The following is a 23,461-nucleotide window of genomic DNA, read 5'->3' on the forward strand; positions in this document are numbered from 1 at the left end:
AGTTTAGGTATCGGTAGGACAGACTGTTAATCATTTGTGTAGCTGAGATTTCCAGGTCAGCATAGTGATTCCAGGCATCTTCCAATTGAATGGGACTTGTTTCTATGACTGATCCTAAGATAATGGAATGGATAATATTGTGGATGCAGGACCTACCCTCCACATTCCTACTTAACAAGATGAAGTTGCTGTTCCATCCTGTCTGGGATTCTCTCTACCTTCCATGTCAAGCCTCTCCTGTGCAAATTTAGCTCACCCCAATTGAAGAAATATGTTGAGTAGAGAATGGGAGCCAATCACCAGTCAGGTTGTATATGAGTTTACATGATGGTGAAGGTTTCTTATACCTGGTAAGAGTAGCTAGCAGAAAGCTGCAGCATGAGCTAATGGGAAATAAGAGGGGCAACTATGATGGAAAAATGGTGAGAACAATAAAGAAGGTAGGTACTCTGGCAGAGGGACTGCAGAATAATGCTTACCCTTGGGCCTGTGAGTAGAAAGTCCCAGAAGAAAAGAGGATAAGCTGAATGCAGTGTAGAAAATCTGGCTTTGTCAAATCAAATAGAATTCATACGGAAAAATTCTCACAATATAGTGTTCACTAAAAGTAATGTGGCCAAAAATCCTGTGAATATAGTTTGGTCCCTAAGTGTGTGAGTGTGTGTTTCCTTTAAATGTGTTATATGCCTACTATGGTAAGATAGCAAGGACAGGGTGGAGAACAGGAATGAATGGACATGGTTTCTGCCCCCGTAAGGCTTAAACTTTAATGCAATAGATAGCTTTGAAAGTAAATGTTAAGAGTGATTGTATCACTGGTTGTCACATTAGAGATGAGTTTATTTTCTTCTTTATAAATTGTATTTTCCATGTTTTCTACAAGAACGATGTATGCCTTTTATAATGAGAGAAAAGCAACACATCTTATATTTTAAATGAACAAACATTACAAAAAAACAAAACAAAGAAGACAAGGCCACAGGAATCAATTCACATTCATCAGGCTAATAACAGCTTTCTTTACAAAACAGAATACCAATTTTATGTATTCAGCTATGTTCAAGGTCTTATAATAGTAGCTGAAATTATATGAAGAGGGTTAAAAATCAATCTTTGCTCACAAGGGAGATTAAATTATTGTTTGTGTGGTGCTTATGGCACACGGAGCTGAGGGGATAGTTAGCAGCAGATAAAAATATTATATTTCTTTGATTAATAAGGGCTAACTAGATGTGTTCATATTTTATGAACATGCAATTTAATTTGATGTAGCATAACATTTTCTATCCTCTGATTTGCAAAATGTTTCCATTCTTGGATGAAGATTTAGGAGATACTCTAATACACTTTATCAGCAGCACATTGCCAAAGCATCTCCTAGAGTAATAAAACTTGAAGAATGCATATCATTACCTATGCTATTGCTAACTTCAATGTCAGAAAAAGCTTGTCTTACATTTTTAAAGTAGAGTAACGCAATATTAATAATAGCAACTACACTTAATGGGCATTTACTTTGTGTGAGACATTTTACATTGATCATTTCACTGGATCATTCACAACAAAAAAGAATCACAGGTCTATAATCTCTTAAAAACTCTGGGGACCAAATGTGTTTTGGAAATGAGAATTTTTTGGAATTCAGGATGAAATTGGAATCCTTTGGAATATACTACATAAATTGCATACATTTTGTAACATTCCAAATGGGTACAGGACAGTACTATGTAATGAAACACATTAATCTTACTATTTCTGCGAATAAATGTGTGAAAATTCACACTAAGTGAAACAAAACCATAAATAATATTACAATTTATTTACAAAAATATATTAGTAAATTCATTGGTAAATAACATTTTTAAATAAATACGTTTATTGGTAAATGAAATATGAAGATAAATATAGACCACACATACCATAAGCTTTTAATGTGTTTTGTCACTTGTGAAAAAGCTTCTTATTTCTAAGGAAATTTTAAGTAAAATTTAAAACTTATACTGATGAAAACTAACCCATAACACATATACATGCAATGAACGTTTGTTACCTTTGATTGCCTGAGAATCTTGGAGAAGAGGTTGTTCCAGTATTACCACTGCCTATGAAACCAGGTTGGAGCTGGACATCTGATGAGCCAGAAACAGGATTGTCAAGAGATGAAGCGGCATTACCACAGAGAGCTTTATTAAAGACTTTTCCCAGTTTCACCTGCTTCCTTAACACAGGTTTCTGTCTAAGCAGTTTCTCTTTAATTGAGTAAATTGTCATCAGCTCTTGCTCACTGATAAATGTACATCGTTCAAGGCCAGCAATTAATCGGTCACACATTTTCACCATATGATCTATGGAGATTTTTTTCACCCAAATTCATAATGTCATCATCATTACTACTACCATCTTCATATTGATCTGCATTTAACACCATCTCAGCAATTTCCCCATCACTCTTAGGATGCACAATGGGTTCATCATTATCAATGTTAACCCTTTCTTCAATGTTAGCTTCTTCTAACTTATTTACACTTTTGGCTGATAAACTTTTGGCATAGGTAATGAATTATGCTACCATTGTTTTCTCATTAGAGTCATGAACTCTTTCAAAATCTTCATCAGCTAGGTCACTTTCAAACATAATTGTAGCCCAAAGTCTATGCCAAGCATTTGTTAATGTTGACTTATCAACGTCGTTCCAAGCATTAGCAACTGTGAAGATGGCATCCTTAAGATTAAATTCTTTAAGGATGTCCTGGATTTTCAGGCCTCTGTTAACTGAAGCAAGGATGCTTTTCAAAAAACTGTTTATACTTGCTCTTCACGGCGTGTAGAATTCCTTGGTCACAAGGTTGTATTACAGACGTCACACTGGGGGGAAAGTCAATGCCAAAAGCATTGCTCTTCGCAAGATGTTCAGGAGGGGGTTGTGCAGAACAGTTATCTAGAAACAACAAAATTTTGCAGTTGTCTTCCAGTCCAGTTTGCAATGAGCTCATGCTGCTGGCACAAAGTGCCTATCAAACCAGTTGGAAAAGATTTCCCGTTACTGATGCTTTCTTGTGTGCATAACAATGTACAGGTAAATTATGCACACCTTTTAAACACCTTGGATATAGGCTATTTCCAATCACTGCCAATTTTATCTTGTGTGTGCCTGCAGCATTAGCACACTCAAGAACAGTTAACTTTTGCTTAGTATCTTTGACATCTGTTGTTGCTCTTTTGTTAGCCATTGTTAAAGTTTTTCTAGGAACATAGCACCAGTACAAAGCTGTTTCATCAGCACTGTAAATTTGTTCAGGGCTAAGATTTTCATCAGATATTACCTTAGCAAATTCATCAATGTAATTTTCAGTAGCTTCATCATCAGGAGAAGCCTTTTCACCACAGATTTGAAGATACTTGATTCCAAGACACTTTTTAAATTTCTGCAGCCAGCCTCCTGAATATTCACACTCTCCTTCAAAGTTCAGTTCTTCATGGTATATTCTAGCTTGTTTCACGACCAACAAACCAGTCAGTGGTGTATCTTTACTTCTTTGTTGTCGAACCCATTCAATCAACACAGGGTCAAGGTCTTCATTTTTGGCTCTATGCAATGTTTTTCTATTTTTCATTCGTTCCTGGTTATTGCTGTCACTATAAAATTTCAACAACTTGTCTGTTTCTTTAAGTCATATATCGTGGTGGTTCCCATACCATATTCTTCAGTAAGACACCTCACAGACATACCACCATCAAGTTTCTGCAATAACTCCACTTTCTGAGATATTGATAAAGACAGATGCTTCCTTTTCTTCTTCTCACTGTTACCCATAGGTATATCTTTAGCCCTTTTCGACATTTTCCATGGAATTAATCCCCAAGTCAGAAAATATCAGCAAATAGCAGAGGCATGTGTGACTTACGGATACAAGTGCTGAGACAATAGAGGCTTCATATTTGTTCACAGTAGGTTTTCTTTGGCATATAATCCTGGTGCCAAACTTACAAAAACACTTTGGGTTTCACAGTGTTTTGTTTTTTGTCCTGTTTTGGAATTGCAGAGTAAAGACTATAGACCTGCATTAAAAATATCATTTTAATGAAGAAAAGGCTGAGGCTCAGTCAGTATCTTGCTCAAGGTTATGCAGCTATTACTTGTCTTTTCTGCTTATATTTAGTCTCCTAACATTTGGTCACTTTAATAGACAGAAAAATGTTTGTTTTTTCTGGTATTGTCTGCCAAGATGATTTGAGCTGGAATATTTTTAGCACAGGAACCTGATACTCTTATTTGATTGACACAGTCGGTAGTTGAGCTCCAATGCTGAATAACATGGAGATGCTGTGGCAAGAGGTTAGAGTTCCTAAATTTATAGTTATTGAATACAGATTTTTCTTTTTGTACCAAATGATCTGTTTGGTACTTACTGCCTGTTACTTACTGCTTCACAATGAGCAATCAGGAAAAATGAAAGAGCTCACTGCAAATGTCCCAAACACTCCCACAAGTTTTCCCTAAATATCCACTCATTTAAAAGGCTTTTTTGTTTGCTTGTTTCTAAACTGTTCTGAAAATTGTACATCCCAACTGTGACTCAGAATTGTTAATCAAGTTCAGAATTAAAACACATTTTAGACATTCTAATAAAATGTTTCTTTTAATTTAGAATTTAGAAAGAATTCATTAGCATTTTTCATGACTTTTAAGCTTCTGTGGTTTGAGCCTTATTTCATGTACTCTTTTATAAGTTCCTATTGGAAGGCCAGCTTTTCTTCCTCATTCTCATCTTCCCCAGATTTGTTTAGATCTTCCTCAAATGTCTAATATGAACTGCTACAAATGCCTGAAGTTTACTGATTCACTCCTAAGTCTTTCTTTCTTTTTCTATTGGCTTTAAGAGCAGACTTTTGGCTGGACTGTTATAAAAATGAGTAAAGCACAGTTCTGTAAGACAAAATTCTAACCCCCCCAACTGACTGAATGGACCCCTCTCTTGGCCAAGGGCATTCCAAAGTAAACCTGAAAAACTAGTTCGGGCCATGATGGGAAGGGCGGTGGTTGGGCATATCTCATTGTACCCTCCTCCCTTTGGAATTCAGGCACAAGTGATCAGCGTTAACAATAAAACAGAGATCTTAAGACTGGCAAAACAGACACTTCATAGCAATAAGATACCAAACTCTAACCTGACTCCTGCACAGCATCACATGACAGCAGGCCCTGAAAGAAACTGAAGTATTTTACCCCAAAATATATTTCTTTGACATATTTTGAAATGGCTCTGCAAAGCTGTCTCCTGTGGGGAAAAGGATTCTATAGATAATCCTTTTCCTTTTCCAGATCTTTTCCTGATCCAGGAGAGACTAACTAAAGGTCTTACATAATACCTTTCCAGGTCTGATAAGAGACATTTGCCATCTATTCTCTCTGAAGCCTGCTACTTGGAGGCTTCATCTGCATAATAAGAACCTTGGTCTCCACAACCCCTTATTTTAACACAGACATTCCTTTCCATTGATTCCAGGTCTTTAGATAATAACTTATCTCTTTCAACCTATTGCCAATTAGAAACCCTTTGAATCCACCTATGACCTGGAAGTCTCCCTGCACTGCCCACCCCCAATTCGAGTTGTTCTGCCTTTTCAGACTGAACTAATGGACACCTTACATGTATTGATGTCTGCCTGTAACTTCTGCCCCTCAAAAATGTGTAAAATCAAGTTGTAACCCAACCACCTTGTGCACATGTTCTCAGGACCTCTTGAGACTGTGCCTCAGGCCTTGTTCACTCATATTTAGCTCATAATAAATCCCCTCAAATATTTTCCAGAATTTGACTCTTTTTCATTAACAGCTAGTATAATTCAGAAGTGTTTCAATTCTAGTAAATAATTGGGTATTACGTGGAATACCTGGGTGACAAAATTATCTGTACAACACCTGTGACACGCAATTTACTCATGTAAGAAATCTGCACATTTACCCCTTGAGCCTAAAATACAAGTTGGAAAGAAAAAAAATTCTAGTAAATATGAGAAATGTATAATATTGAGAATACATTATATATTATCATATTATATATTTTATATATAATAATATATATAATTTTACTCTATAAACTTTTATATTTCTTTTACTTTTAACTTTTTGACTCTGTAATAACACTTAGTTTAAAATACAAACACACTGTACAGCTGGGTAAAATATTTTCCTCCCTTATATCCTTATTCTATGAACTTTTTTTTATTTAAAAAAATTTTTTTTTTTTTTTAAACTTTTTTGTTAAAAACTAAGATGTACACACATTGGCCTAGGCCTACACAGGGTTAGGATCATCAATATCACCATCTTCCACATTCACATTTTGTTCTACTGGAATGTTTTCAGGGGTAATAACACACTTGAAACTATCTTCTTCTATGATAACAATGCCTTCTTCTGGAATAACTCCTAAAGGACCTGTTTAAGGCTGTTTTACAGCTAACCTTTTTTTTTTTTTTCCAACTGCCTTTTTCCTGAGGCTAAAGCTAGTCAAGTTGACTCTGAAGAAAAATCACCACGACAGCTTACATTTGGAAAAACTTTGTACATGCAAACTACAAACAAGAAAAATATGTCAGATTCCTTCACTAAGGAGGTAATGGGATCTCATAGCCTAATACACAGTAAATGATTAACAAAGAAATGCTTTTTTTTCTGACACATTAAATTTTCTTGTTTTTTGTTTTTTTTTTGAGACAGGCTCTGGCTATGTTGCCCAGGGTGGAGTGCAATGGCATGATCTTGGCTCACTGCAACCTTCGCCTCCCAGGCTCAAACCATCCTCCCACCTCACCCTCCCAAGGAGCTGGGACTACAGGTGCACACCACTACACCTGGCTAACTTTTGTATTTTTGGTAGAGACGTGGCTTCACCATGTTTTCCAGGCTGGTCTTGAACTCCTGGGCTCAAGCAATCGTACCACCTCAGCCTCCCAAAACACCGGGATTACAGGCATGAGCCACCAAGCCCAGCTAGGACACATTAAATTTTAAAAAATGTTTATTACAAATTCAAAAAGATCTTATAATAAAAAAACTCACCCTTTCACATCTCCAGGCCTGCTTTCCAGGGGCAACTATTCTTATAATTTGTTTTTAGTATTTTTGGCAATTACTATACCAAATACTATAAATACTATATCTTTAAATGATATGCTCCTCCTAATATTATTTCTTCATGTATCAATTATAGATATCTATTTACTTCCTACAAAGACAGACAATCACTTAGCTCTAGTTACATATATTTTTTCCTGTACTGGTTACCTTTGCACACTGAAATAATATGCTTAAACTTCTACATCCTGTTGTCTCATTTCTTGATTTGCACTTTGTTAAGATTTTGGTATTATAGACATAAGACTCAATCCTTTTCTTTCTTCTCTTCCTACACTCTTCCTTCCATACCTCTGCTGAGCAAAACCTAGGCCTTACAGAATATAATTCTAGCTCTTCTTTAGCATGTCATATAGGGCCCTTTATGATCTAGCCTCTGCCTACTTTTCTTATCTCCTGCCATTATCCACTTCAGCTAATGTTCACAGTCATGCTGAAGTAGGTATTTAGTTTTTGGAATCTTTTGTGAACTCTTGTTCTTTTTATCATTGTCTCACAGCCTTCCATGGCCTGGAATAGCCTCCTCCTGTAATTCACTGGCAAATCCCAATCATTTTCTTCAGCCTACATGCTACATTACGAAATCTTCCCTAGTAGACATCCCTTATTACATCAAAAAGTATTTATTGAGTACTTGTTTTTGTGCAAGGTACGGTTTTAGATGTTGGGGCTATAGAGGACCAAGATAGTAACGAGTTTGCATTCTAATGACTTAACAAACAGATTTAATAAATATTCCTACCACTATGAAACCTACTATGTACCAGGATTATACTAAATAACTTACATATGCTATTTTAATCCTTACAACAATTTTATGAGCCCTATAAGTGGCTGGGCTTATACTCAATCTCAAGTCTGACTTCACAGCCATTACTTTTAAGCTATGCTCACTCTGCTCCCATTATTCCTTGTTCATTTCTATTACAACATTTGTCATGTTTTGAAATACTTTGCATATGGATTTCCCCATATGAACCACAGGAGATAAAAAAATTATTTTCAGGACGGTGTAGAACCAGTGCCATTCTAGATGTATATGAAAGAAGTTAATACATTATATACAATGGGTGCCTAAAGGCATTAGGGATTAATTGTCTCTTGAAATCCCAGGTTGAGAAGGGCTACTTTAGATGAAGGCCTCTTAAGAGCCTCTCAAGGGTAGAGACATCTGTCACTTAGTGGGTGGCTGATAAATTTTTGTTGAACTTGTTATTTAAACCTTTGCAATTAATACATACTCAAAAGTATTATTTTGGGGTTGAAAAGTCAGCTGCTTCAGTCTTGCTTCTAGAGATGGCTTTGCAGGTGGAGTTAAGCACTTAGTATTTTCTTAAGAGAATTCCAGGGGTGTTGGATCCAAACTTTGAGAGGCCAAAGAATGCACAGACTCTGAAGCCGGATCACCCAGATTCAAATTCCAGTCTCTCTGTTTGTTATATAAATTGAAGCAAGTTATTATTTAACATATGCCAGATACTTTTATAAATACTTTACACTACTACCTGATTTAATCTTCAACACTTCTATTTAGTAGATACCTTTACTATTTCCTTACTAGCTCCATGCCTCAGTTTCCTCTTCTATTAATTGGCTGTAACAACAACAAATTGCCTTACAGAGTTACTGTTAGGATTAAATGAGTATAAAGTGCTAAGAATACTACCTGGCATAAAGAAAGTTAGCTATTACTAACAGTAGAGACTGTGGCCAGGGCAGAAAAATCAGCTTGATGTAACTTACCAAATTTTTCATTTTATGTTAATATTCATTTCAAGGGCACAGATGGAATTCTTTGGAATGGGTACTAAATCTTAAGCACTTCCCAATCAAGCTGGCTCTGCATCTCCCTAAGGGAAAAACCCAGCAGCTGGTGCTGAAATGAAAAACGTCGGAAAAAGTACCTTTAAAATCTGGATACTTTTCTGCAACTCCTCTGCCATCTTCCAAGTCCACATTATCATTATCTTTTCCTGGGATCTCTTGCAACAGCCTCCTAACTGGTTCAACAGCATCCTCCCTGGCTGCCTCTAGTTTCTCCAGGAGATTAACCTTTTCAAAAGATAGATGCACATTGGATTGCACCATGCCCATGCTTAAAACTGGTTATCCAGTAAGCATTTCGTAATACTCAAGTCAGTAACTTGGCTAAGGCTTACAGGGTCTGGCCTTGGCCCATGCCTACAGATTCACTCCCCTGACTCCTCCCCATGGTCTCTACCCAGCCACATCAGCTTTCATTCATTGTTCAACAAATATTGATTTGCTTGTCTTGTGTTAGAGAGTCATTGAGGATACATTAGCGACCAAACAAAACACAGTTATTCTACTCACAGAACTTAGATTTTACAGGGTGGGGGAACAACAACAATTGCTAGTTGTAAAAAGTATAAAAATGAAATTGAACCTGCAAATAAAAAAAGAGTGCTCACTTGAGATACAGTAGCCAGGAAAGTCTTCTTTAAGAAGGTACTATTTTAGACGTAACCTAAATGATGAAGGGAAGTGCCACGTGTTGAATGGAGAAGAGAGAATTTAGGTACAGGGAACAACCCATGCAAAGGTTCATACATGCTGGAAAGAAGTTGGTGTTTGAGGTATCCAGAGCAGATCAACTTACTGTACAGTTAGTGGGGAGTGAGGTCGGCTGACACTTGATTGTGCAGGACCTGGGAGGCCATGGTAAAGATCAGAATTCTATTCCTTTTCCCCCCTCCTCTTTTTATTTTATAAAATCTGTTATTTTAGAAAGTTGCAAGACTGGTACGATGTACACCATTATACCCTTCAACTAGATTCACCAATTACTAATATTTTGCCACATTTGCTTTCTCTATTTTTTTGCCATATCTTTTGAAGGTAAGCCGCAAACACTGTGACACTTTGCTGCTAATTACTTTAGCAAGCGCCTTCCAAAAACAAAGGCATTCTTCCACTTAATCACAAATTAATTCTCACATGCAATCAATTTAAAACTGATTCAATATCATCTAATATGTAGTTCATATTTAAATTTCCCCAGTTGTCCACAAATGTCTTTCGAAGTTTTTTTTTTTTTTTAAAAACTATGAACCAGCCAAGATTCACAAATTTCATTTGGTTTCTTTTGACTCTCGACTAAAGTAATTTTCCACTTCGTTTTTTTCTTTTTCCTGTCATGACACTGACATTTTTGAAGAGCCTAGGCCTGTTGTCTTGTAGAATATTCTACATTGTTTTTTTCTGATTGTTTCCTCATGATTAATGTCAAACATTTCTAGCACAAATACTATCGGGTGATATTAGCGATGCTAAGTATCTTCACTTGGTTAAGGTATGTCTAATAAATCTCTTCAGTGTAAAATTCTATTTTCCCTTTATAATAAGAAATGATCTGTAGGGTGATTCTTTGAGATACTAACATCCTCTTCCCTACAACCTTTCAGTTAATTGTTTGTTTTAGCATCTTGCATTCATTAGTTTTAGCATTCATAAGCTTACCTATATCAATTTTTAGACTGGCAGTTGCACAATGGGGATGCAGCGAGGGAAGTGACCCTCCGGATCCCGGGATGCCGAGCCTTTTTCTGCCCCGTAGGGACAGGACTGGGAAGTGGCTAGCCCGCCATTCCTCGGCCCGTCCTTAGGGGAGTCGCAGGACTAAGTGCAGTGGCAGTGGCCTCACCTCGGGCCTTCGCCACATCTTTATTGCCTCAAGGACAGAATTGGAGATCGGTGTCCCAGTCAACAGCGTGGTACTTATGACAGCCGCGAGAAAGCGCACTACTAAAGCCCGGCTAGCAGAGCTGGGAGGCAAACCAGACCGTCAGCACCAGGGCGGCCCACGCCTGCTTCCGCCCATTGGCTGCCCGCGTTTCAAGACCCGCCCCCATATTGGAGAGCTTCTTCCGGTAGCCACTGGAAAGCCCGCAGCGCGAGCCGGCTACGCTCCCTGGCGGAGCTCTGGACGCCCCACCTACTCCCAGCGTTCAGTGCGGTGCCCTGGCCGCCATTGTTTGAATTTGAAAACGGTAACATCGCAGTGCTGCTCGCGGGTCTGGCTAGTCAGGCGAAGTTTGCAGGTGAGGAGGTGACCCGCGGGAATGTGTGGGGAAGGAGGTGGGTGACTGCGCATGTATGGGGCCTAAGGTGGGGAAACGGCTTTGGCAATGTGGACATGTTCCGACAGGGCTCATACCCCAGTGGAGGTTACTGTCAGGAACTGGGTTGCGGAGCGATGCGAACACGGGGTACGCAGCGAGGAATGAGTCATACTAATTCGGTTACGGTTTAAATCTCGCCTCCACTGCTAATTAGCTGAGTGACGCAAGACAATTCATTTAATCTCTCTCTGTACCTTAGTTTTCTTATCAGTTAAAAGGCTGCAATGAAGTGTCTATTTCTTTCGGCTTTTGTGAAGATTAAATGGTAATGTGTAAAGTTATTAGTGCTGGCACACAGTAGGTACTAAATGTTTGCAGTTATTAATATTATTATTGTTGTTGCTTCTGTTGTTGTTGAGGAACAGGCCTGTTTTGCCACACCTAGTTTTCTGAAGCTCTGAGGTGAGCAGTTTGCTCGGCTGGTAGGTAACACGGCCTTTTTGCGGGGGGAGCCCTGTGGTAGCCTCTGTGCACTTATTTCCAGACTACTCCTACTGGTCCTTGGGGCTTGCCCTTCTAGGGTTTTGCAGTGCCAGGCTGAAGAGTTTGTGGCACAGTGACTGCTGTCATTCCCCAGTTTAGAAGGCTTTCTCCATCTCGATTCGCTCGCTGGTTCAGTGATGCATGTCTGGCACAGTTCTCTTATATTTCTTGCTAAACTACTAGTTTACAGAAGTTCACGCCTTATGGGTTAGGTAGTGTAACAGTGTATTTATCTTACATGTCCAAGACTCCAGATTTTAAATTGTAAAAATAACATAAAATACTCATCGATTAGTTGTGAAGACTTTTTTTGAGGCTTTGTGTTGTAGACCACATTCAGAAACCTCATTCAGCAACAGATTCTGCTATTTTTCACCAAAGTCTCCAATTGTGGATTCTTATTGGAGAGAGGGTAAATATGCAGTTTTCCAGTCAGAGCAGCCTTTTGAAATGAAAAATGAGGTCTTGGAGCCTGCTGTCACGAAAGATAATATTACAGACTAGGACCGACTTTTTTTTTTTTTTTTGGAATAGTATTTTCTTTATAACCATTATTTTAAGTCATTAGGTAGTCTTTATCCCTGCATAAGTCGCTGAATTTGTTATAGGGGATACAGAGTGGTATAAGGCAAGGTTCTTGCCATCAAGAAGTTTCCAGTTTAGTTGGGAAGGCCACGTATAAGTAGAAGTCATCTAAAATCGCAAGAAGTTACAGTAAGTCTGAACACTTTTAGAAATGCTAGGAAGTAGTTTGTTCATTGAAAAATGAGCATATGAACAAATACTTTATTATAACTGCTTTTAGTACATAGGAATATTCTTTTTAATTCAGCAATTTAAAAGATTTATCAACACTTTTCTTTAAACCAAAAATTATTATTTGAAGCCACAGGTGTTTTTTAGTTTTCTGGGCATTTCCATGAACTCTGTGTTATGAAATGTCAGGCCGGTACTTTAACGTTTTGCAGATGCTCCCCCCTCTGCACCCCCTTACCCATGATCTAGATCAGTGCTTTCCTTAGTCTTTTTGCAATTTAGGGGAAAAAAGTCAACTATGTTCTTGTGATACGTTTAGGAATTTCAGCCTGATCAAGGAAAAAGATTGACAACAAGATGGCAGGAATAAACAAGGATTTTGACAGGATTGTAGGCAAAGGAAATCCGTCTCAGTTTGGGACCTTTTCTAGACCAGGGTGAGGGGCCACCATCTAGAGGGGAAAGAGGGCAAGGGGAATGGGGAGTCGGGGAGGAAAGAATCATAGAGGGGCTTACATGCCTAAATGATGTTGCACAGTGGAGAGTCTCCGGATCATAGAAACTCTCAAGGGCAGCAGTGGCTTGGGGGTCTTGATAATCCCGGGTTTTATGTGTCTGGCAAATGTTGGGTGCAGTTTCATGGGGCATTCAAACCTGGCAGGCTCTAAATGGCTAAAAATATGCTTATTTTGGGCCATTTTGAAAGTAAATGGATGCTTCAGAATTTGACTTTGGCGCCCCAGCAGGCTTTTCCCTTTTTTTTTTTTTTTTTTGACGCAGTCTTGCTCTGTGTTCAGGCTGGAGCGCAGTGGCGCAGTCTCGGCTCACTGCAGCCTCTGCCTCCTGGGTTCAAGCGATTCTCCTACCTCAGCCTCCTTAGTAGCTGGGACTACAGGCGCATGCCACCACACCCGGCTAATTTTTGTATTTTTAGTAGAGTCGGGGTTTCACCATGTTGGCCAGGAGGGTCTCGATCTCCTGACCTCGTGATCCACCCACCTCGGCCTCCCAAAGTGCTGGGATTACAGGTGTGAGCCACTGCGCCCGGCCGTAGGCTTTTTAATTTTTATTTTAAACATTCATGGTCCTTGATCCAGTGGGCTTTTGAGCTAAGATCCCTACCAGCTGTGAAGAAGTTTACACTGTAGAGCTATTATGCAAGGGCCATCTTTGGTTCATTTTATATAATACCTGTGGGTGATGGTCGTTACTACTTTCTTGAGCTAGGAACCTTAGTTTGGGAGTCACTGATCTGTATATTTTTTAATCTTGTCAAAAAACAGCACAGAGTCCTCCTCCTCTCTCTGGTATTGTACATCTAGTAGATTCTCAGTAAATATTAGAATGTTAGTATTTTTTAGTTAAGGTTATCCTTAAGTTTACCTTTTAGTTTAGTGATTTGATGTTTAATTCAATGGTAATAGTTTACTGATGCATTATTCCTATTTAACTTAAAACCTGTGATGTGTCAGGTACTGTTTTGAATGTGTTTACATATATTATTTTACTTTTTACTTGAATTTGAAATTGAAAACAATTTTTCAGATAACTGAGTTTTGTTTTGTTTTTTTTTTTTGACGGAATCTCACTCTGTCACCCAGGCTTGAGTGCAGTGGCGCGATCGCGATTCACTGCAACCTCTGCCTCCCGGGTTCAAGCAATTTTCTGCTTCAGCCTCCCGAGTAGCTGGGATTACAGGTGCCTGGCACCACGCCTGGCTAATTTTTTTTGTATTTTTAGTAGAGACGGGGTTTCACCATCTTGGCCAGGCTGGTCTTGAACTCCTGGCCTCGTGATCGACCCGCCTTGGCCTCCCAAAGTGCTGGGATTACAGGCGTGAGCCACCGCACCAGACCCAGATAACTGAGTTTTAACTTTTAAATGCTAAAACAAAGTCTGTAAGTAACATTCTACAGGAGTCACTAAGTAGATGACACAAGGTTATAATTTACCCTGTGATCTCCTTACTATTTGAGTTTTGAGAGGATTTCACGGAGAGAGTAAATATTTTATACCATCTTTACAGATTACCTGTACTCACGAAACCTCTTTGAATGGATATTATATGAAAATAGTAGGCTGTGTTCAGTATTATTAGAATCAGAGTCTGTAAATATAATTTGATCTTTAGTCTTTCCTGTAGGGCATTGTGTTATAAATGAAGCAATGTAATGCGTTTCTTTTCTAAAATCTAGTTATTTGGAGGGAAGTAGTGGGCTAGACTTTTGAAAGTGTGGGTGGCTTACATGCTGACTTATTAAGGTTGTTAAAGAAGTTGCTGTTATTCTTGCAGAATGGAATCTAATTTTAATCAAGAGGGAGTACCTCGACCATCTTATGTTTTTAGTGCTGACCCAATTGCAAGGCCTTCAGAAATAAATTTCGATGGCATTAAGCTTGATCTGTCTCATGAATTTTCCTTAGTTGCTCCAAATACTGAGGTAAGTACAAGAAAAGTATTGTGTTGATTATCATGCCTCCTTCTAATGCAAGGGTTGGCAAACAATGGCCTGTTTTTGTATTACCTGTTTTTGTACTTAGATACAAGCTAAGAATTGTTTTTATATTTTTAAATAGTGGAAGAAAAATCAAAATAGGAATAATGTCACATAACATAAAAATTATATGAATTTCAAACATCACTGTCCATAAAGTTTTATTGCATCACAATCGTGCTTATTGGTTTATTTATTTACTACATCCGTTGTGGCACTATAATGGCAGAGTTGAGTAGTTGTGAGGAGACTATAGGGTCTCTAGAACCTAAAATATTAGCTGTCTAGCTCTTTACAGAGAAAATTTATTGACTCCTGGATTGGCATGATGTTTTTGAGATTTGTCGTGTGTCATACATCAGTAGTTTTTCCCTTTTTATTGCTAAATAGTTGTCTGTTGTGCAGATATGCCACATTTCCATTTGTCGTTTGATGGACATTTAGGTAGTTTACAGTTTGAGGTCATTATAAATAATGCTGCTTTGAACATTCATGTGCAAGCCTTTTTGTGAACTTGTGTTTTCATTTTTCTTTGGTAAATACCTAGGAATACAAACTGTATAAGTTTAACTTTATAAGTAACTACTAAACTGTTTTTCAAAGTGGCTATCCCAGCAGTGGCAATGTATGTAGGTTCCAGTGCTTCTACCTCTTTGCTAACACTTGATAATGGAACTTTTTATTTCTAGTGGATGTGTAATGGTATCCTGTTGTGGTTTTAGTTTGCCCTTTCTAATGAGCACTCTTTCAAGTATTCTTGGCCATTTTTCTACTTTCTTTGTAAAGTGTCTCTTCAGATCTTTTTCCCATTTAAATTAGGTTGTTTCATTAGTGTTTTGTGAGAAATCTTTATGTATACAAATCCTTTATCAGATTAATAGTGTCTTGATGATCAGACATTTTAAAATTTAAAGACATTCAATTTAACATTTTCTTTTCTTCTTTGGTGAATTTTTTTGTGTGTGTGTTCTCTTTAAGAAACTTTCGCCTTCCCCAAAGTTTTTGTCTTACTTTTTCTAGAAATTTTAGTTTTCATTTGAGTAGTTATATCTGTGGTCCATTTTGAACAGTTTTTGTGTGCAGTTGATATAGGGACCCAGGTTAACTTTTTTCTTTTTCTTTTTAGCTTCCATACATTTTTTTTTTTTTAACTACATAAGTAGTTATTTCAGCATTATCTATTGAAAAGACTTTCCTTTCCCTGTTGTTTTGGTGCTTTACAAACGGCTGTGTATATGTGGATCTATTTCTGGATTTTATTCTCTTCCTTTGACCTATTTGTCCTTATTCCAACACAATACTCTCTATTTCTGTAGCTTTATAATGATTCTTGAAATTAGGTAGTGTGAATTCTCCAGTTTTGCTTTTCTAGGAAAATTTTGGCTTTTCTAGGTCCTTTGCATATTCATAAATTTTAGAATCAGCTTGCCAGTTTCTACAAGACAGCATCTTGGGATTTTGACTGGGATTGCATTAAATCTGTGGATCAGTTTGGAGAGAATTGACATCTTGACAATATTGAGTCTTAATCCATGAACACAGTATTCTTCATTTTATTTAGGTCTTTAATGTCTTAGCAGTATTTTATACTTGTCAATGTAGAGGCCTTTCGTGTCTTTTGTCAAATATATTTATAAACATTTTATGTTATTTGATGCTATTGTAAATATTTTTAGTTGCTTTATTTAGGCATAATGAAACACTGCATATATTTTAGATACGCAGTTTGATAAGTTTTGACATGTGCATACACTTATGTAACTGTCACTACAGTCAAGATAGTGAGTATAACCATTACCCTCAAAAGTTTCCTTGAGGCTCCTTGTAAGTGCTCCCTCCCATCACACCTCCAAGTAACCTCTGATTAGCATTTTGTTAGTATACATTAATTTTTTGTAGATTTGTTGGATTTTGTATGCGTATGTTCATGTTGTTTCTAAATAAAGAAAATTTTATTTCTTCCTTCCCAATTTGGATGACTTTTGTCTTTTCATTTCCTTTTTTTCTTTCCATTTTTTTTTTCCTTTTCTTTCCCCTCCTCTCCCCTCCACTTCTTTCTTTCCCTTCTTCCCTTCCCTTTTACCTTTCTTTTTCCTTTCCTTTTCTCTTCCCTTTTTCTTTCCCTTACCCCTCCTTTTTTCTTCCCCCATCCCCTTTCCCCCTTCACACCCAATTACACCAGCTAGAACCTTTAATACAATGTTACTAGAAGTGGGGAAGCAGAAATCCTCTTCTTATTACTCATTTTGCTGCTCATCTTAGATTGAGTCTTTCCTGTTAAGTTTGTTGTTAGCGATAGATTTTTTGTAAGTGCCCTTTATCAGGATGAGGAAGTTTGCATTCATTACACTTTGCTGAGAATTTTTATTACAGATGGACGTTGGATTTTGTCAAATGCTGTTTTCCCATCTGTAGAGATAAAAGTTTCTCTTCATTTATTCTTTTAATATGGTTAATTGCCTGGATTGATTTTTGAATGCTAAACAGACTTTATATTCCTAGAATAAACCATTCTTGGTCAGATGTATTATCCTGTTTTATATATTGGCTAGTATTTTGTGTGGGAAATTTTGCGTATATCTTAATGTGGTATTTTGTTTTCTAATTTTTTCCTGAGGATATCTTTGTCAATTGTGTTATTCGGCTTATGTCAAACTCAAAATTAGTTAAGGTATTTTCTCTTCCTATATTTTCTTAAAGAGTTTATGTACAATTTGTATTTTTTTTTTTTTTGAGACGGAGTTCTGCTCTTGTTGCCCAGGCTGGAGTGCAATGGCGCCATCTTGGCTCACCGCAATCTCTGCCTCCCAGGTTCAAGCGATTCTCCTGCCTTAGCCTCCCAAGTAGCTGGGATTACAGGCATGCACCACCATGCCTGGCTAATTTTGTATTTTTAGTTGAGATGGGGTTTCTCCATGTTGGTCAGGCTGGTCTCGAACTCCCGACCTCAGGTGATCCACCCGCCTCGGCCTCCCAAAGTGTTGGGATTACAGGCATGAGCCACCGCTCCTGGCCTGATCATTTTCTTAAATGTTTGATAGAATTTACTGTTAAACTACTAGGGCCTGAATTTTTTTTTTTGTGGCATTATTTTGTTTGAAAATGGATTCAGTTTGCTTCATAGAAATTGGGTTATTCAGATTTTCTAGTTATGTCTGTTTTGATTAAGTTGCATTTATCAAGTTGTTTCCTTTTTACTTTTTTAAAAAAACATTAAAACATTTCTTTAAAATTACATTTTCTATGCACATTTCTTCCTCAGAAAAAGTAACAAGGAGAATGGTACATAGTAAAAAAATTCTGAATACCTCATGGAATTGAGCATTTGAATAATAGAATATTCTAGTTACTTTTGATTTATTCTAGAGTTATATTTTCCAATGACTTAGGGCCTCATTAATTATATTAGGCTTTTGTGGAATAAAGCCTTTTTATAAACTTCACGTATAAATACAGGAGATGGAGGAAATTGGATCTTTTTTGGTGTATTTTGTTTTTATTTAAATAGATTTATTGAGTTTTTCTAACATTATTAAAAGCAGGATAGTGACTGCTTAGAAATTCTTTATCATCTCAGATTATTATGTAAAAAGTAGCCATGTTAAGGAAAAATGGTCTCTGAAAAGCCGTATCTTTCAAAAACACAATGTTTTTCTCCTTTATTTTTTAAGGCAAACAGTTTCGAATCTAAAGATTATCTCCAGGTTTGTCTTCGAATAAGACCATTTACACAGTCAGAAAAAGAACTTGAGTCTGAGGTTTGTGTTGAATTTAATAGAATTTTAATATTTTACTTTCATTTAAAATGGCAAAATACTAGTTTTTATTTATTGGGGGTATGTTTTCTAGGGCTGTGTGCATATTCTGGATTCACAGACTGTTGTGCTGAAAGAGCCTCAATGCATCCTTGGTCGGTTAAGTGAAAAAAGCTCAGGGCAGATGGCACAGAAATTCAGTTTTTCCAAGGTAAAACTGAAGTGTTTTTGTTTTTTGTTTTAAAGATAAAGAGACTTGGCTTAGGCTAAATTGCTATATAATTGTATATAATGAACTATACATTTTATGCTTATGCAACTTAGATTTTAAGGATAAGACTCAAATCTCAGGTCTGGAAATATATAATTGGATGTAAAGAGATCACTGTAGTGTTATTAAAGTTATTATTACTATATTTTTATTAAAGTTATTATTAATATATTTTTAAGAAATATTCTTTTCAAAACTTAGGTGAATACTTGATTCCCTGGTACAGATTTCTATCTTGAAAACTTTCTGGTAGTAAAACTATCAAATGTATTTGTGGGAGTGGGGATGTGGCACCTATTTTAAGAATGAATCTTTTAAATTTTTAAACAGTAGTGTTGGGATGGAACACACTATTAATATTAACTTGAATTTTCTAAAAAGAGTTTTTAAAAAATGTTTGCTTAGGTTTTTGGCCCAGCAACTACACAGAAGGAATTCTTTCAGGGTTGCATTATGCAACCAGTAAAAGACCTCTTGAAAGGACAGAGTCGTCTGATTTTTACTTACGGGCTAACCAATTCAGGAAAAACATATACATTTCAAGGTAAATATTGTTTTATTTTGGTTGGAAAGGATAAGGAAGCAATAATAATCACTCAGTGTTTTTATAATACATACATGTAGTTATGTTGCTATTACCTAGTATGCGTTTGCTCTATTTTTAATAGTACTAGCATATTATTACGTATTGCTGTTTTTTTTTTTTTTTGGCGGGGGAGGGACAGAGTCTCACTCTGTTGCCCAGGCTGGAGTGCAGTGGTGTGATCTCAGCTCACTACAACCTCTGCCTCCTGGGTTCAGATGACTCTCCTGCCTGAGCTGCTCAGCTTCCCAAGTAGCTGGGACTACAGGCGTGCGCCACCATGCCAAGCTAGTTTTTATATTTTTGTAGAAATGGGGGTTCACCATTTTGGCCAGGCTAGTCTCGAACTCCTGACCTCAGGTGATATGCCCACCTTGGCCTTCCAAAGTGCTTGGATTACAGGCAAGAGCCACCATGCCTGGCCTTGCTATTGGCTTTTAATTCAAATTTATTTAATTCATTTGTAAAAATACTTTACCCATTGATAGAGATTTAGATGATGATTAAAATCCAGAAAAAGTATTGATGTGATACAGAGAATTAAGCATAAATGACCAGAAGAAATTTTATATTTCATTTTACTTTTATAGTTTGTGATTATGGGTGGTTACAAATCTTAATATGGTTGCATTATCTGAATGTAAAGTTTCATGTTTACATCAGAATAATAGTCAATAAAATGTTGGTAATACTGTGAATAACAAAGTGATGGAAAACTGAGTAATCCTTAGCTATCATTTCCGTTTCAGTTGTTGACTCTTGCCTATTGGTAGTATAAAAGGAGCTTTAATAAACAAGTAAAGTTTCCTCTTTCCTAGTAGACTGAGAGAGTATAACACAAAAATTCCTTTTGCAGGGACAGAAGAAAATATTGGCATTCTGCCTCGAACTTTGAATGTATTATTTGATAGTCTTCAAGAAAGACTGTATACAAAGATGAACCTTAAACCACATAGATCCAGAGAATACTTAAGGTTATCATCAGAACAAGAGAAAGAAGAAATTGCTAGCAAAAGTGCATTGCTTCGGCAAATTAAAGAGGTATGGAAATATTTTAGTATGTAAAATATGTATAATTCCTGACTTCTTATAAACCCTTTAGATTGTTTCACCATATATTGGAATCTGGTTTGTGGTGGTAGTGTTTTTTGTTATTATTTATGTTTTCGAGAAAAATAAAGCTTAAAGTGTGAAGACATCTTTTGTATTTATATTATACCAACAGCAAGAATGTTTAAACAATACAAATGTAAATGGTTCTGAAATCTTTTTTGATTGTTGTAGAGCCAGCATTGTGCTTTTTATGTAATGATTTTTTAAAATTCTGTTTTTTAATTGTGAAAGTAATATGTACCCAAAATTTAAAATAGGGAATGTGAGAAGTAAAAAGTAAAAGTTTCCTTTAATTTCATTCCTAAAGAAAAAATTATTAATAGATTGGGAAGTATTGTTTTTGGACCTTTTCTCTCTCTATATAAAATCCATATACAGAGCTTTCTATCTGTATATACACAAACATGGTCATATATATGATGTGTATATCTTCATACCTTTGTTTTTATATGTATGATATAATTTTTTTTTTTAAACAAAAAAGAGATCTTACTATGCTTACCATTCTATGACTTGGTATTTCATTTAGCGTATCTTAAATCTCTTCCTACCTTAAATCATGTGCGTTTTATCTGTTATGTCTTTAACTTGTTTTTTTAAATTTTAAATCAGCTTTTAAAACTAAGTCTCCATTGATGGACATTTGTATTGTTTCTGTGTTTTACTATTTTGAACAGTGTTTCAGTAAAGAAACATTCCATTGCAAATATATTTGGTGCTAATTTTCCCAAACTCAGGCCAAGATTGGATATTTAATAATGTCTGGTTTGATAGGTGAAAAATGGCTCACTTGAGCCTACTTTATATTTTTTTAATTGTAAATTAGTTGATTAGTACATCTTAGAATTTTTTCCTGTGAATTGTCACATGTTCTTTGTCCATTTATCTAGTATTGTATGACTTTTCTTGTTTACTGATTTATTAAAATGTATTTAAAAAAATGAATACATTATTAATGTATTAGTGTATGGGTTGCAAATTTTCTGGCTTATTGTTTGCTTCTCCCCTGCCCCCATTGTGTTTTTCTTTTTTTTCTTCCTTTTTTTAGTTTTTAGAGACAGGATCTTGCTTTGTCATCCAGGCTGGAGTATAGCGGTATGATCATAGCTCACTGCTGTCTTGAACTCCTGGGCACAAGTGATTCTCCTGCCTCGACCTCCTCTGAATAGCTGGAACTACAGGGGCATGCCACCACTCCTGGCTGTTTTGATTTTTTTTGTAGAAATGGGGTCTTGGTATGTTGCCTAGGCTGGACTTGAACTCTTGGCCTCAAGAGATCCTCTTCCCTTGGCCTTCCAAAGTGTTGAGATTACATGTTTGAGCTGCCAAGCCTGGCCCATTGTGTTTTTCAGTATTCATCTATTCAGCAAATTTTATTAAGTCATCTGTTTTTTTTCCAGGCAATATTTTCAGTTTTGAGGACAAATGGTACTGCCCTCATGGAGACTGACAATAAATAAATATGTAATATACTGTGAGGAGGTATTGTTTTATATAAGGTGGTACCATATAAACTTTTAAAAATGAAGTTATACTTGTCTGTTTATTCCTCTTGTGCCTTCTGGATTTTGTAGTATATTTTCAGACATTATTCTATTCAAGGCTGTTAAAAACTACTAATTGTTTTTGTAAATATTTTTACCCTATTATTATTAATGCAAATTTTTCTTTTTTAAAACATTTAGAAACCAGGGTTTTAAGGCAGTAAAAAGTGTGTTACCAGTGGAGTTCAAAGTTGAGTCTGTGACTATGGTCTCTGAAAGTAGAATAGTGTTTTAACAAAATTTATGGGGATTGGTGGATAACTCCATAGCCAATTCATAGAGGAAATTAAAATCATTAATAATGAAAAAAATTTTTCACTGGGCATGGTGGTTCATGCCTGTAATCTCAGAACTTTGGGAGACTGAAGCAGGCTGATCACTTGAGGCCAGGAGTTGGAGACTAGCCTGGCCAACATGGCGAAACCCCGTCTCTATTAAAAATACAAAAAATTAGCTGGGCATGGTGACTCACACCTGTAGTCCCAGCTGCTTGGGAGGCTGAGGCACAAGAATTGCTTGAACCCGGGAGGTGGAGGTTACAGTGAGCCGAGATTGCGCCACTACATTCCAGCCTGGGTGACAGAGCAAGACTCTCTCAAAAAAAAAAAAAAAAAAATTCTAACAAGTTATCCAGTTAAAACATGATACTGTTTTGCCTATGAAATGATTAAAATGTTAAAAAAAAATGAGATAATGTGCTTTCATATATTGTAAATGGTTCTAGAAAGCAAATTGGCAATAGTGTGTTAAGAGTGAGAACATTAAAATATTTTATATCTTTTCATCCACCAATTCACTTTTAGGTGTATACTCCAAGGAAATGGGTTTATTTCTATTTCTAAGGAAATAATAAGAATGCAGAAGAAAATATGTAAAGATGTTTGGCAAAACTTGGTGAATAAATTAAATGTTTAATAATAAGGGAATAATTAAGTCATTTCACATGTTTTATATAGCCATCAAATGTTGTAAACAATTTTTAATTATGGGGAGAAAAAGCTTACAACATAAGTGTGGGGAAAAGAATAGAAGGGAAATATTTTAAAATATTAATAGTAACCAACCAGAGTGGCAGGATTATACATGATAATATTCTTTTTCATAGTTCTCTGTATTTTTCCATGAAACTATATTATTTAACTAGGAAAAATTAAAGAATTCATTGAATTGAGTAGATG

At 36.5% G+C, this 23,461-nt stretch overlaps 1 protein-coding gene and 1 pseudogene across 6 annotated transcripts in view, besides 4 other annotated features; one reads left to right on the forward strand and one right to left on the reverse strand.

Moving 5' to 3' along the window:
* Nucleotides 1-821: 821 nt before the first annotated feature.
* FLJ37201 (tigger transposable element derived 2 pseudogene) lies at nucleotides 822-7,450 on the reverse strand (annotated as a pseudogene). The gene is made up of 2 exons (NR_026835.1): nucleotides 7,292-7,450; nucleotides 822-4,324 (listed from the first exon to the last, which is right to left on the reverse strand). The product of NR_026835.1 is annotated as a tigger transposable element derived 2 pseudogene (transcript).
* Nucleotides 2,906-3,407: an enhancer, noted in NCBI's record as "NANOG hESC enhancer chr10:91453141-91453642 (GRCh37/hg19 assembly coordinates)". NCBI's record gives its function as "activates a minimal SCP1, AML or CMV promoter by ChIP-STARR-seq in primed H9 embryonic stem cells {active_cell/tissue: H9 hESC(primed)}" and the evidence as "EXISTENCE:reporter gene assay evidence [ECO:0000049][PMID:30033119]".
* Nucleotides 10,634-10,713: a silencer, noted in NCBI's record as "silent region_2595". NCBI's record gives its function as "represses an Ori minimal core promoter by ATAC-STARR-seq in GM12878 lymphoblastoid cells {active_cell/tissue: GM12878}" and the evidence as "EXISTENCE:reporter gene assay evidence [ECO:0000049][PMID:35858748]".
* Nucleotides 10,758-11,273: an enhancer, noted in NCBI's record as "OCT4-NANOG-H3K27ac hESC enhancer chr10:91460993-91461508 (GRCh37/hg19 assembly coordinates)". NCBI's record gives its function as "activates a minimal SCP1, AML or CMV promoter by ChIP-STARR-seq in naive H9 embryonic stem cells {active_cell/tissue: H9 hESC(naive)}" and the evidence as "EXISTENCE:reporter gene assay evidence [ECO:0000049][PMID:30033119]".
* Nucleotides 11,112-23,461, forward strand: part of KIF20B (kinesin family member 20B) — a 73,345-nt gene continuing 60,995 nt past the window's right edge. For all 5 annotated transcript variants that reach the window (NR_168374.1, NR_168375.1, NM_001284259.2 and 2 more), the window contains exons 1-6: nucleotides 11,112-11,202; nucleotides 14,816-14,963; nucleotides 18,689-18,775; nucleotides 18,867-18,983; nucleotides 19,449-19,587; nucleotides 20,483-20,667. Coding sequence is in view for 3 of the 5 variants with exons in the window: in NM_001284259.2 (NP_001271188.1) it covers nucleotides 14,817-14,963; nucleotides 18,689-18,775; nucleotides 18,867-18,983; nucleotides 19,449-19,587; nucleotides 20,483-20,667 (675 nt within the window). In the remaining 2 variants the exon portion in view is untranslated. The remainder of the gene's footprint in view (nucleotides 11,203-14,815; nucleotides 14,964-18,688; nucleotides 18,776-18,866; nucleotides 18,984-19,448; nucleotides 19,588-20,482; nucleotides 20,668-23,461) is intronic.
* Nucleotides 11,274-11,790: an enhancer, noted in NCBI's record as "OCT4-NANOG-H3K27ac hESC enhancer chr10:91461509-91462025 (GRCh37/hg19 assembly coordinates)". NCBI's record gives its function as "activates a minimal SCP1, AML or CMV promoter by ChIP-STARR-seq in naive H9 embryonic stem cells {active_cell/tissue: H9 hESC(naive)}" and the evidence as "EXISTENCE:reporter gene assay evidence [ECO:0000049][PMID:30033119]".

The sequence above is a fragment of the Homo sapiens genome, chromosome 10 (assembly GCF_000001405.40).
Source record: "Homo sapiens chromosome 10, GRCh38.p14 Primary Assembly".
Lineage (NCBI taxonomy): Eukaryota > Metazoa > Chordata > Mammalia > Primates > Hominidae > Homo > Homo sapiens.